Genomic DNA, 14,887 nt, shown 5'->3' with positions numbered 1-14,887 from the left:
TTTTTTTTTCTTCTCATTTACTTGTGTATCTTTTAACCTTCCCAAGTCATTTACCACTGCAGTAGGTTATAGCATACTGTAATATACAGAAAGACAGAATGCTTAATATTTGCCAAATTTGTCACAATGTGAATAAGACAAAGATCTTTCTTAAAAAGCTGACATTTAAGGAGTGTTAAATGTGTGTGTTTGTTCTTTTTCATCTACTTTGGGAGTTTTGATTTTGGTAGCAGCTCTGGTAAATAAAAGGTTGGGTATGAAGGAATTCTGCCGGTGAATCACAATTATGTCAAAATTAAAAGCTATAATTAAATTTCAACATATGGTTGTAGTGAAAGTATGATGTTACATTAACATATATAGTATATAATACTCAAATTATATAATCATTTGTTTATTCATAAAATATTCCTTAGATAAGAAATGTAATCAATATTAAATAAGTGAATAAAAACACATGTGCTAAGATAAAGATAGGAGGAGGTGTGTTCTAAAAGAATGAACTGAGTCCAGAAAGAATGGCATGTCTTTATTATGGGAGCATCATAAAGGGAAGGGGAAGGGTTCTTTGGAGAGAGGATAACGAAAGCACTGAAACAAGGTCAACTTTCCCAAGAAATAATTAGATTGAAAACATAACAAAACAAAACAATATTCAGAAAAACACACTCCGGCTGTGTTAATGAGGGCTTAGAAATTGAAATCCTGGGATGAAATCTGTTATCTTTCGATTACAAGTTTTGGGCTCTTTGACAAGTTATAAAACTAGTGGACTTAAGTAGGGTCACGGGGATTAAATGAAATATGTACCACACAAATGATACTTAAATAAGTTACCATGGCTTCAGCCAAGGGGGAATGCAGCAGGAGTTGCTGAGTGGAAAGAGATGACTAGATTTTGACCCATTCATGCAATTTTTCATTCAATTAATATTTATTAAAAGATTTCTCTGGATTATGTATTGTGATGTGTTAGATGCTATATACTTTTTGGTGATCAAATTCCTTATTCTGTTCTTCACTTTTTTGTGTACTGCTGAAAGACATTGTTTAAACTAACAATGAACTAGCCTCTAAGTGCAGAACAGTAGGATGTCATTATGTAGGTGGTATAGGTATTGAACGAAGATTTATAATAAACTTTAGGAGACAGACATCTGTTACTATGTAGCTGTCATCACCCAATTTCTTATTCTTAAGTCAGGGATATTAATATTTGCCACCTCCCTAGTGTTACTGTTTGAGGTAACTGAGATTACATTGTTGAATATTTGTGGGCATCATTAGGCTGTAAGTCTTATTCCATTACTCATTCCAATATGTCCCATGGAATTTATTGTTGCAATTATGATTCAAAGCAGTAGGATATAAGGATTTGAATCACCAGACAAGTCTGCAATGCAACTTCGTTCTGTGTGGTATATTTAATATAAAATTTTATTAAACTCTTTGAAAATGAGTCCCCTTAAGGGTTTAAGTTAAATAGCTTGGATTAGAAAACTGAAATTTTATAATAATGGCTGAAATTCTAGCTTTCTACTTTATTACACTAACATCTCACAGGGGATTCCAGAACGGTAGATTACATAACATGAATTCAATACTCATCTGCATTAAGCAGGTGCACACTTTAGGTTGGATCCTAGCAAACTCATGTCTTAGCCTTTATTTTTAGGACTATACTTGTTGCTTTTTGGTTAAAATTTTAAATATACAATTTAATATTAATGAAAAAATGAATAATGGTTGTTATCACTTAGAATTATGAATATTGACCTTCAGAATGGAGAAAATATATTTTCAAATGGCTGGTTGGTGCATATATCATGAAGTATAGTATTTGTCAAGCAGGGTCTGGGACAGTGCCACCTAGGCCAACACATGACAATTTCTGCAGCAAAGCAATAAATATTTATAGAAACTGGGATAAAAAGAGACTTTAAATCACTTCATGTCAGTTAACTTCTGGTTCTTCTGTCAAAAGAGCTTGAAAACAAACTCGTAGTTTTCAGAATGTTTTGGATTTTGGACTTGTAAATACAAGATTTTAGGTCTATGTTAACAAAATAGGACAAAGCCATAGTGTGTTAGCAGACGCAGCATATCCTGACATTTAACAACCATGGATTGGTGACACCAAATGCCTGGGTTCAAAGTTTTTGGTAAGGTATTTATTCCCCATGCTTCCACAGTTGCTTCATTTCTAAAATGAGGATAATAAGAGAACCTACCTTGTAGGCTGTTATGAGGCAGAATATGTTAATATTAATAAGATGATAAAATACTGAGAATATAGTCTGGCATATAAATGCTATTTAGATATGGTCACATGATGTCATCTACTTCATTTAAATTTAGGATAAGAAAATAAGAATACAGTGAGTTAGATTTAGTTCCCTGAAAGCAAAAGTTGTGGCTAGTTTTAGCATTCTTACATGCACATCAGTTACTAGCTACTTAGGTAGCAGGCATTTTCTTCCCCTAGACTTCCACTCTCACACAGCCCAGTCAAATGGACAAAAGGGAGAGGAAGGAGGAGTGTGCAGTCTGCACTATCATGGCAGTCTGCACTATCACCAGAGACAAGATTTAAATTATGGACCAAAATAACATCTTACAAATGGGTTTTTTGTCCTTATTTAGGAAAAATTGATTAATAATCTCTCTGGAAATGGACCTTTCTTAGGACCAAGATAATGATATTTTAAGAGAATAATTTTATGAATCATGTGAGGTGGTGTTACTGTAGTCAGAGAGCCAAAGAGCATCATCCTTGCCAAGATCCACAGGACAAAAATGCTTCCAACTGGGTGCAGTGGGGAACACCTATAGTAGTCCCAGCTACTTGGGAGGCTATGGCAGGAGGATGGCTTGAGTCCAGGGTTTCTGTAAAATAAAATTTAAAAAAATATGCCCCCAAATGTAGCTACATTTTTCTGTATGCCTGCTTTAGATTCTGAGATGGAGGTGAGGATCAGCTTCTTGCTCTCTCCTGAACCACCTTCCACTTTTCTGGGGAAAATAAACCAGAGATTATTATGGAGGATGAAGGCAAAGCATTGTGGGTTCCTTTGTCAGGAGCTTCAAATGTGGCCACCCATCTGGCCTTAGAACATGATGTTCTAGCAGCCTTGTCTCCGCAGCATCATTCCTGATGGTCATTATCATCTTTTCCCTTCCATAATCTTAATGCTTCTAGCTTAGGATCCTAAGTTTCATATATGTATAGCAGTGTTATAAATTTTAATTAATCTTCTAAAGATTTCCAATTTTTGAGCTTTGTGAATCAATTAATACCACTTGTACAATACACTATCTTACACAGCCAGATTATATAATAATATGTCTGATACTTACTGTCCTAAATTCTTCAGCATTTCTTAATATTCCCAAAAGGAACAGTTCTTTGACTTCATTTGTTTGGAAGGTTACTAAAGAGGGAAAATATGTTCCCCTCTCAATTCTGAATAATGACAGAGGTTTTTGAGAGACTTTGTACTGGACCAGGGGTAAGAATTTATAAAAAATGCTTTAAAAGCAAACAAACAAACAAACAAACAAACAAACAAACAACACGGGGCAGAGTAGCTCATGCAAGTAATCCCAGAACTTTGGGATGCCAAATTGGGAGGATTGCTTGAGCCCAGGATTTCGAGACCAGTCTAGGTAACATAGTGAGACCCTGCCCCTACAAAAAATAAAAAAATTGGCTGGGTGTGGTGGTGCATGCCTGTAGTCCTAGCTACTCTAGAGGTTGAGGTGGGAGGATCACTTGAGCCTGGGAGGTCCAGGCGTCAGTGAGCGGTGATCATACCACTGCACTCCAGCTTGGGCAACGGAGTGAGACCTTTCTCAAGAAAAAAAAAATGTTTTTAAGAAAAAGAATATTTTATTTGCTGAAAAGAGAAAAAATTTTCTGGGGAAGACATTTTAGAAACAATCTTTCTTGTAAAAATTAGTTTGCTTTATTTACTTGAACTTTGAAAGGCCATAAACACAGTCCTTGTATACTTGCAACTCAGTCCTCTTTCCCATTTCCCTCCCATGGCTGTGCTGTCTCTCCAGTCATTTCACCTGGAACTCTGGAGGTTACGGTAACATATTCAGAATTTCTGTATAAAATTTTCTATGGTCTGATACTTGATACATAGTAGTAATCATTTTACAGCCTTCACTTTTAAAAACATTTTTGGATAACCTTTCCATTTAGGATCCAGGAATTTGTATAAAACCGCAGAGGTTATATTGCTTTTGAACTAAAGGCTGTTGGTTTGTGGAATTTCCTTTAACTGGAAACACGTTTCAGTTTGTGGTTTTAGGGTTTTTCCAGTTTTATACTATCCTGCTTGTTTGTTTTCTTTCAAAGCTGGAGAATTTATCATTAATTTCCATATTTTATAAAAGACTAACTTTTTTCCCCCTCAACCCCCTTTATTTTTTCAGTTGAAAGAGACAAGGATTTTTCTCACCAGCGAAGGCATTACAAAGAATTTCGATTTGATCTTACCCAAATTCCTCATGGAGAGGCAGTGACAGCAGCTGAATTCCGGATATACAAGGACCGGAGCAACAACCGATTTGAAAATGAAACAATTAAGATTAGCATATATCAAATCATCAAGGAATACACAAATAGGTATAATCTTTTTATTTAACTTATTATCCTGGCAAATATATGTAAAATTTTAGTAAAAGCCATTGATAACTCATGTGATCTATCAAACAAATTATTTTTTTGGGGGCAATGTAGTAACATTTAGAGCCAGGTAGAGATATTGAAAGGTAACCGTAATCGATCTGAAAATTTTCTCCTACATTCCAGAGCTGCTCCCTACTCCTGACACCAATTCGTATACTAAATAGTCTCATGCTTCTAAAAATGTGCTTTCTAGGTCTGTTGTCTCATTTTGTAAAGTTGTCCTTCATCCCAGAAAACTTCCACTTTGTTCTGCCCACATGAAATGTATAATTAAGATAATGAAATTACTTGGTGTTCTGGAAGTTAGAGAAGCACTGCTTTACTTTTCACTGACATGAGTGTAAAAATTGTATGTTCATTTTTATGTGTATTTTGATGTCCTCTGTCTATAAGTTGGTTAATTCGGAATGATACAAAAATGGACAGATAGTCTGAAATACTAAATGCATAAAAACCTCAGTTGATAATGACTGCAAATGAACCATTGAAAATAAGTGTTAAATATCAGTCATTTTCTCTGATATTTAACAAAATGCAGAAATCACTTGGATAACACATTTTTTCAGGTGATGAATCTACCTTTGTCAGACAGCTCAGATCTACCATCTATCTATCTATCTGTCTGTCTGTCTGTCTGTCTGTCTGTCTATCTATCTATCTATCTATCTCTCATGTATCTAAATCTATTTGAAATCCTATATTGAGGTGATATCTCTCTCCCAGTAGCTTTCATTCCTCACATCTAGGTCTTCCTTTTGATGAAATAATATATCCTTTTTTGATTAGAAAAATATTTAAAGATTGCTATCCTGTCTCCTGTAAGGTGCTGTTCTCTCCTTGTTGACAATATTTGCAGTTCTTGATGTTTAGATTTGTCTTGGTCTTCCAGTTTGGCAGAATTTCGCAATAGTGCCTTGCAATACTCAATGAAGAAAAAATTAAAAAGCTTCTGAGGTCATGTCTATTGCTAAAGCCTTCCTGTTAGACTATCCTCTCGGAGATTCACAATGCATATCAGAATATTAAAGTCTTTTTTAAAATTTTTTATTTTAAATCAATTTAATTTTGGTCTTGAATTAAATACAATCTAATTTGGGACATTGTGATGTGCCCAAAGTTTGAGACTAATAGTTTATCTTAAAATAAGGGAAGTTCTTGTTCTGATTCTTTAGAAAAGCAAACAGCAACAGAAAAACAAAACAGTGATTATATTTGAGAGCCAGAAAAACTTTGTAAGGAAATAGAAACTTTTTATATGCGTCTGATATAATAATCAGATCACTTATGTTTGTCATTTTGAGTGGCTTTGCAAATTAGGTACCAAAAGATTAAAAAAAAAAAAGCCAGACACTAATGCTGCTCTATCTCTGGTTTAGAATCCACCCTGTATACATGTCATCTAAAGTCATCCCATGTAGACAACCAGAACCCAAAAGGAGGCTGTGGACAATATATGAATATATGCAGGTCTTCCAGCCTAATGGCACCTCCCGATATTCCTGACATACAAAAGGGCTTTATGTTATCACAGTATGGTTTACTCAGAAGTTAGTCTGGGGGTGCCATTCATCTGAGTTGTTTGGCTTGAATACACAAAGACTTTTGTCTCTACCTTGGCTATTTTAAATAAAGTATTATTATTATCATTGCAACCACAGAAGACCATCAATATGATGGACTCATCAGGGTTTCCATTATGTACATTGTTTTTCTGGTTTTAAGCTATTTCAGCTGCTTAACATTCAATTAGGCTACGCCTTGGCTTCTGGATTGTAGGAGTGTTTGTCATTGTGGACAGTTCTGAGGCAGATTTCTTTTTTATTTTATTTTATTTTATTATTATTATACTTTAAGTTTTAGGGTACATATGCACAATGTGCAGGTTCGTTACATATGTATACATGTGCCATGTTGGTGTGCTGCACCCATTAACTCGTCATTCAGCATTAGGTATATCTCCTAATGCTATCCCTCCCCCCTCCTCCCACCCCACAACAGTCCCCAGTGTGTGATGTTCCCCTTCCTGTGTCCATGTGTTCTCATTGTTCAATTCCCACCTATGAGTGAGAACATGAGGTGTTTGGTTTTTTGTCCTTGCGATAGTTTGCTGGGAATGATGGTTTCTAGCTTCATCTGTGTCCCTGCAAAGGACATGAACTCATCATTTTTTATGGCTGCATAGTATTCTGTGGTGTATATGTGCCATATTTTCTTAATCCAGTCTATCATTGATGGACATTTGGGTTGGCTCCAAGTCTTTGCTATTGTGAATAGTGCTGCAATAAACATACATGTGCATGTGTCTTTATAGCAGCATGATTTATAATCCTTTGGGTATATGCCCAGTAATGGGATGGCTGGGTCAAATGGTATTTCTAGTTCTAGATCCTTGAGGAATCGCCACAGTATCTTCCACAATGGTTGAACTAGTTTACAGTCCCACCAACAGTGTAAAAGTGTTCCTATTTCTCCACATCCTCTCCAGCATCTGTTGTTTCCTGACTTTTTAATGATTGCCATTCTAACTGGTGTGAGATGGTATCTCATTGTGGTTTTGATTTGCATTTCTCTGATGGCCAGTGATGATGAGCGTTTTTTTCATGTGTCTGTTGGCTGCATAAATGTCTTCTTTTGAGAAGTGTCTGTTCATGTCCTTCGCCCACTTGTTGATAGAGTTGTTTGTTTTTTTCTTGTAAATTTGTTTGCGTTCTTTGTAGATTCTGGATATTAAAGTCTTACAAAGGCTTTACAGTGACAACACACACACACACACACACACGTACGTGCACATGCCCTCTCAATTCTATTTTAACTAGTCTTCCTCAAAATTATCTGGCTATGGATTCATTGGGTGTGTAGTACTTATTAATATCCTATGGAATGCTAGTTCAGCAGAACTCACTTTAATACGTACTGACTGATATGCATTGTTATTTTTAACAGCAGTAATTTGAAGGCAGAAAGACCTATATTTGTTTCTCAACTTTAACACTGACTACCTATTTGTCTGCAGATAAGTTACGTTTTTAAAAAATCTCAATCTAATGGTTCCATTTATAAAATTAAGATACTAATATTATTTTCTTATAGGGCCAGGCATATATAGTGAATACTATAATATGTTATTTTTATGTTACATAATAATAATATCTCAAAATTAGTGAGAAGAGTTGAAAATAATATTCTGAATGTTAGTTAATAATATTGCCAAAACTAACAAATTGTTTTATTCATAGTTATCTTTTTCTATGTCTGTTTTCACACTTGGATTATGAGTTTTTTAAAGAAGAGATAAGGATAAGTTATTTATTTTTATCCTCAGCACTACCATTTTCCTCGGTATGATTCAATGCTTTGACATCATTATTACTCAAAATTGGAATACTACTTCCATATACATATCCTAAAATGTTTGAATTATGTTTATTTTTTGTCAGTTATATATATTTTATGTATGTTGAGTTTATAGTTGGTTATTTATATCCTAAGCATTTTTTTCAGGAATGATTGGCATACCAGTTTTCTATCCTCTAGAATATATTTATTAATTGTATTTAATTGCAGAATTTTACATTGATCACAATTAAAATTCCTATCTTTTCTGTATGCCCACTGTTCTGTCTGCTCAGTATATTTCTTAATGTCATCTAATGAAGCTCCCTCTGAGCTTACTTTCACCTTTCTATTTTCTAAGGATGTGAATGGTATAATTTAACACATGACAAAAATGATAAAAATAAAGAACTAAGAGTCTATTAATACTTTATAGTCTATTTCTAAATAAACTAATGCTTATTTTTATTAACAGTCCATTTTGGAATATTTATGGATATTGATGCTTAGTTCACGTGACTTCATAGTTTTGGGAAATTTTAATTATCCTTACAAAAATGAAATGTTTGTTTATCTTGCACCTCTGATATTTTTCTAATTATACCTGATTTAAAAAATATTACTCTTAATGTTTCTGCTACTATAGCTACGTATTGTTTCAGTATTCTTTGGTATAATTTGGCTAAGACTTTATTTTAACATGTGTTTAAATCTACTCTCAGATTTAGGATTTCACTGATATTTTTCCTAATTCCTTTGACTTAATTTGTAAAATCTAAAGTGCATGTATATCTTTACCTGGCATCCTCTTCCACTGCCATTTTAAACTCTGGGATGATATAGATTTGATAGGTTTCTATTTAATTTGCCAAATAGTATTTTTAAAAATTCAATTCAATCTTAATTCAGTTCTACCAAGTTCACATTTTTGAACATCTGCTATTGAGTAGTGTTACTGAATTATGATTGTTACTTTATCTTCTAGGGTTATAGTATATTTATTGTCCTCTGTGATATTTGTTTTTGCTAATGTATTTGGAATGTTTTACTAATTATTTTTTCAATCCTGAAATATTCACAGAGACTCATACTTCGTAATTCAATTCTTTTTTTTTTTTTTTTTTTGAGATGGAGTTTCACTCTTGTTGCCCAAGCTGGAGTGCAATGGCACTATCTCAGCCCACTGCAACCTCTGCCTTCAGGTTTCAAGCGATACTCCTGCCTCAGACTCCTGAGTAGCTGGGACTACAGGCACCCACCACCACACCTGGCTAATTTTTGTATTTTTAGTAGAGAGGGGATTTCACCATGTTGATCAGGCTGGTGGTCTTGAACTCCTGACCTCAGGTGATCCACCCGCCTCAGCCTCCCAAAGTGTTGGGATTACAGGCGTGAGCCACCACGCTTGGCCATATTTCAATTTTATATACTGTTGATCAGGTATGACAATCTCTAGCAAAACACTTTTTTTATTTTAAAATAAGCATTGGTTCATTGACAGAAGTTCATTATTCTGCATTGTAAGAAAATGCAATTCTGTGCCGTGTTATTACCTATAGATGCAGGATTCACTTTCTGTACTCCCCCTTTTCTTCCAAAGAAAGATGTTTAAGGGAAAGAACACATAGAAATAGCGATATGTCTTATAGAATATTTCAGGTTTCTATGAAGGACTTTAAAGTCACCACAGAAAATAATAATATAGTGCCATAAGAGCATAGACTTGAAATTCCCAAATAGGGAAATTTCTATATTTCTTGGAGTCTCAGTTTGCAAATCTGAAAAAATAAAAAACAGATGAAAAAGTATTTCAGATCAAGAAAAATAATTTCAGATGATGTGGGAAGGGCTAATGCATATCCCAATGCAAAGATCATAGTTGATAATAAATACATTCATCAATATATTTTCATATAACTTCATATGAGCATCTATGTTAGTTTACAGAACTATATACATAATGGCAAAAAATTGTTTTTTATTATAATAACAGTAGGTACAGTTTTCTGACACCTACCTTTATGTAAAGATAAAGTAAGTAAAATGTTCTAGGTGTCTTTATTTAATAAATAATTAGTTTTATTACATAATTTAATATATGAAAAATAAATCGGTAGGTTTTGAAGTGTAATAATAAAATAAATGCCACCCAATTTAATAGCAATATCATTGAATCTTTCTGTGAATAATAGCTGAAAACACAAGTTTTAGATAAATAGTCAAACTCTTTAAAATACATTTGAGAAGTATGGGGAAAGGGTAGTGTGGGATGAGAGAGCTCTTATTTATGAATTTATCTTACAGAAACATTGCAGATATAGACAGATGTAGACGGATTCATGTAAAAGTGTTTATCGCTGTATTATTGCTTACAATTCACAAATTGAACATAATTAAACAAGAAAAAAGTTAAGGTATAATTTTTGGAAAAATAGCACAGAGAAAACACATATTACCTTTTTTTTTTTTTTTGAGACGGTGTCTCGCTCTTTCATCCAGGCTGGAGTGCAGTGGCGCAATCTCTGCTCACTGCAAGCTCCGTCTCCCTGGTTCACGCTGTTCTCCTGCCTCAGCCTCCCTAGTAGCTGGGACTACAGGCGCCTGCCACCACGCCTGGCTAATTTTTTGTATTTTTAGTAGAGACGGGGTTTCACCGTTAGCCAGGATGGTTTCAGTCTCCTGACCTCGTGATCCGCCCGCCTCGGCCCCCAAAAGTGCTGGGATTACAGGTGTGAGCCACCGCGCCCGGCCAAATTACATTTTTGAAAACTATTTACTAACACTGAAAAATGCTCAAATAATAATGTTAATTGACCCAAACCAAGAAACATTATTATATACATTATTATACTATTTTAAATAAATTTATATATAAAACAGATTGAAGGAACCCATCAAATATTCATTGCAGGCTGTGGGTAATTTACATTTTAATTCTTCAACACTTTCTGTGTTTTTAAAATTTTTATGATGAACATTATTGGTATAAACAGCAATGTGAATAATTATAGTTGAGAGAAAAAAGGTAATGAAATGATTTTATGCTACACACATCTTTACAAAATAGCATTCCCAACTTCTGCCAGGTATAGAGAGTAAAAAATCAAAACAAAACAAAACAAAAAACACTAGGATTTAAAAATCAGTTGCTCTCATTTTTTCTTAAGCCATGGAAGGTATTTTTTTCTCATAGGAAATGAAGATAAATAGTATCTTTTTTATTTTTCGAAAAAATTTACCACTGCTTTGGAACTTTGACTTTAATTCTCTGAGAATTCTCTGAGAAGAGTAAATATTTTTTGGAAAATAGTTACCACAACTTTGGAACTTTGACTTTAATTCTCTGAGACAAGTATTGCATTAAAAATACTTTATTTACATATCACATGATCACAGTTAAAATGGAATTTCAATTTGAAAAGTAATTTTAAAATCCTATTAATTGTTTTAACTATTGATTATTTGTGGCTTCATATACTTCTTAAAGAACTAAAGTGGAAGTAGAAAAAGGAACTAGTACCTCTGGCTATTTTTAAAGCAGAGTCACCTCTCAAAACTTCTGTGTCAAAGTTGTGGGTTTTATCTACTTCGTATTTTCAGTTAAACTCAGAAACAATTGAAAAGTCAGGGCAGACTGTACTCTTTAATGTAATTTATTTGACAATGCATATATGTTTTCACATATGTAAAGTTTCCTTTCCCTAAGATACTGCCTAGGACTGGCTGGGTAAGGGAGATCTGTACAGTAATTTGGACTGATGTTTTATGGATATGTTTTATATTCAAGACACAGTCTGACCTATTAACCATCTAATCTATGAATTATTTGACAGTGTTATGCAATCAAATTTAAAATATGGTAGATCCATTATGTCACCTCTTTTCTTATTTATTTATCTTAGTGAGACTTATAGCTCTTAAAATTATATATTTTATTCCTACCATTTCTCCCACCTTCCCAATTTATCCCTACTCATATTTAAATGTGTGTAATTTAAAGGAGTGTTCTGATACTTATCCAAATCTATATTTTACTTGGTAAAAAGTTAACACACTTTGCATCATTTCACTTATTTAATCTTTTCATATAAGGCTGACAGCCCCAAATTCTATATAGAAGGCATTGCTCTATAGTCACACCTCATATATCTGGCATTATTGGGAAAGGAGGTTTCCACATGATTGAATTTTCCAGATAATTCAGCTGAGCTTGGAGTGCTTTTGTTGAGCGTCTACCATGTGGCAAGCACAGAGGACATAAGGCCGAGTAAATAGGGCCTCAGAAGCTCATAGCCTGGAGGCCAGGGACTGTGGTGGGGCTGCCACACACAGACTTTAATAACTATAATACAATGTGCTAAGAACGATGATGTAAATATGCACTAAGTGTTGTGGAAATAGAAATGAAGAGAAAGTTAATTTTTTACTTGGAAGGGTAAGGGACCTTAGGGAAAGCCTCTGAGAGGAGTTCACTATTGAGCTGAACTTTTCAAGAAGAGTAGGAAGTTTCCATAGGCAAAACAACAAATGGGGAAAGAATAGGGAGAGAGAGAGAGAAAGAGAGAGAGAGGGAGAAAGAGAGAGGGAAGGAGGGAGAGAGAGAGAGACAGAGAGAGAGAGGGCAGAGGTGTATGCCAGAAGAAATGTTCCTAAGCACTAAAATGTTTAAGTGTATAAAAAAGTTCAAGCGTATAATGAATTAAATTAATACAATAAAATGATCAATGCCAGTGTTACTACTAATAAGAATAGCATCCAGCACTTACACATTTAATGGACACTCACCATGTGTCTGGCGCTGTGCTAAGTGCTTTACTTGAATTAATTTTTTCACAAATATATATATTTATGTATTCCCTAAAGAAAATGTGCTATGTAGAATCAACCTTTTCCTAATGCTCTGCTATGAATATAAATTTCTGTACTCCATTGTGAAAACATTTTAAGCTAGCCTGCTCGATGTCATTAGCCACCTTCAGTACTTGGATATATATAGTTAAGCTGTCATCATTCCAGTTCACAGTCAGCTTCATATTTACATCATCTCCCCCTGCCTCCTTCTTCTCTAAGATTTGTGATTCTTCTGCGGACATACTTCAGAAGGTACTCTGACATTTTCCACTCAGGAAGATTTCCTGGGCTCTTGAGAGCAGGGTGCCAGAACAGGACACTCAGATGGGAGATTATGTTTCTAAAGTGTCTAGAACGGTACACAAGCATAGCTTGCATATCTTCAGTGTGTGGGGATCATGCTCTATTTTAGAGGTTCTTACCTGGGGTGATTTTGGTCCCTAGGAGACATTTAGCAATGTATGGAAACACTTTATTTTGTCATCCACAATTGATAGGGGGCAGGTATGTGTGTGTATTGTTACTAGCATTTAGTGCGTAGATATGCTGGAGTAGTAATGTGGGTAGGAATGCTGCTAAACCTTCTAAAATGGACAGGACAGCTCCTCTGCCTCACAGAGTGCTTTGATCCAAAATGTCCTTGGTACCAAGGTTGAGAAATCTTGCTCTATTTGAAGATTTAAGATATAAACCTAAAGTGGAAATAGTTTGTGCCATAAGCTAATATGTCAGTGAATTTTGCTTTGACCATTTAATATTTTGGATCATAAGACTCATAAGATGAAAGAGCTCTTAGGAGTTTGTACTGGGTACATTGCTCATTCACTGCATGAAAAATGGTTGAACTGTCTGTGTAATAGCCTCATGTCCTTTTTGCTTGTTGAATGAGGGGACCTCCTGGGTGTATACCTGGTAGCACATGTTTAAATTTCTCTGCAGGGGAAAAATGTGAGATGATGTAATGCCAGGAAACCTACTAAATATTAAAAATGTCTTGGCAATTAAAAAAATTCTGCTCAGTGAAAAGTGATTAAATTTTCTTAGTGAGATTCCAACTTTTTTTCATTTCTGCCATGCTTTTCATTCAATTGCATCTAATATTACTATTTTACCAGTTTTCATCTGTACCTTTTAAATGCAGCATGGAATTAGATATTCTGAAAATTAATGGTTAGTAAGATTTATAGAATTGTATAATCCCACATTTATTTTGGGGAAAAAAAGCGATTTACCATTTGAAAACATTGATCAATTTGAATTGAAACCCAATTCAAATTCTAGCCCATATAAGCTAAAAGCTGCTGATGAGGGAAACTTTGAACCTTATAAACTCTAGAATTTACCATTATTAATTTGTAGTCTCTTGAATAATATGATGGTATTTATGACAAATACCCAGAGAGAGATGTATGCTTTCTCCTTGGGTGGCCATCATTATATTTTTATTGGACTTGATAAGCTATTCAAGGAAAAAAGGAGATGGAAGAAAGTGAAATAGTTATAATAATAGAAGCTTTGGGAAAAGTGGAGATGTCGTTGTGGACTACAAGTTTTGTACTTTATGAAAATAAAGTAGTGTGGCATCCTTTCCTCTAAAATTTGTCTGTGTAGCTTCTAGATAATTTCTTAAAGCTTTTCTGGACCAGGTTTAAGTGCTTCATGATTAGATAGTAGAGTGGCTATCCTATTGGTTTCTCCTTTTTGTTTCTCTTTGAATATAAAAAATATGTGGCTATCCTCTTGGTTAAGTATCCTTTTTCTCTCTCTTTCTCTCTCCATATATATATGTATATAATATATGCATGCATACACACATATACATATATTCATGTAATTGAAACCACAACCACAACCAGGGTTAATATTCCTTTTCTTATCTCTTCTTCTTGATTATATAAATGATTTTACTTATTTTTTATAAGTTTTCAACCCATTTTTTTCTCCAGTAGAACTGAGAGGTGGTTTTATTATGGATTATGTATCAAAAATATTCCTAAAGTTAAA

The 14,887-nt window shown here is 34.3% G+C and overlaps 1 protein-coding gene across 5 annotated transcripts in view; it reads left to right on the top strand.

Moving 5' to 3' along the window:
• The window catches only part of BMP5 (bone morphogenetic protein 5), a 121,938-nt gene that overhangs the window by 51,300 nt on the left and 55,751 nt on the right, over positions 1-14,887 (top strand). For all 5 annotated transcript variants that reach the window (NM_001329756.2, NM_001329754.2, NM_021073.4 and 2 more), the window contains exon 2: positions 4,444-4,636. In NM_001329756.2, the coding sequence (NP_001316685.1) occupies positions 4,444-4,636 (193 nt within the window). The remainder of the gene's footprint in view (positions 1-4,443; positions 4,637-14,887) is intronic.

This window comes from Homo sapiens, chromosome 6 (assembly GCF_000001405.40).
Source record: "Homo sapiens chromosome 6, GRCh38.p14 Primary Assembly".
Classification (NCBI taxonomy): Eukaryota; Metazoa; Chordata; class Mammalia; order Primates; family Hominidae; genus Homo; species Homo sapiens.
The sequence above is the reverse complement of the archived record's forward strand: the minus strand, read 5'-3'. Positions and strand labels throughout refer to the sequence as shown.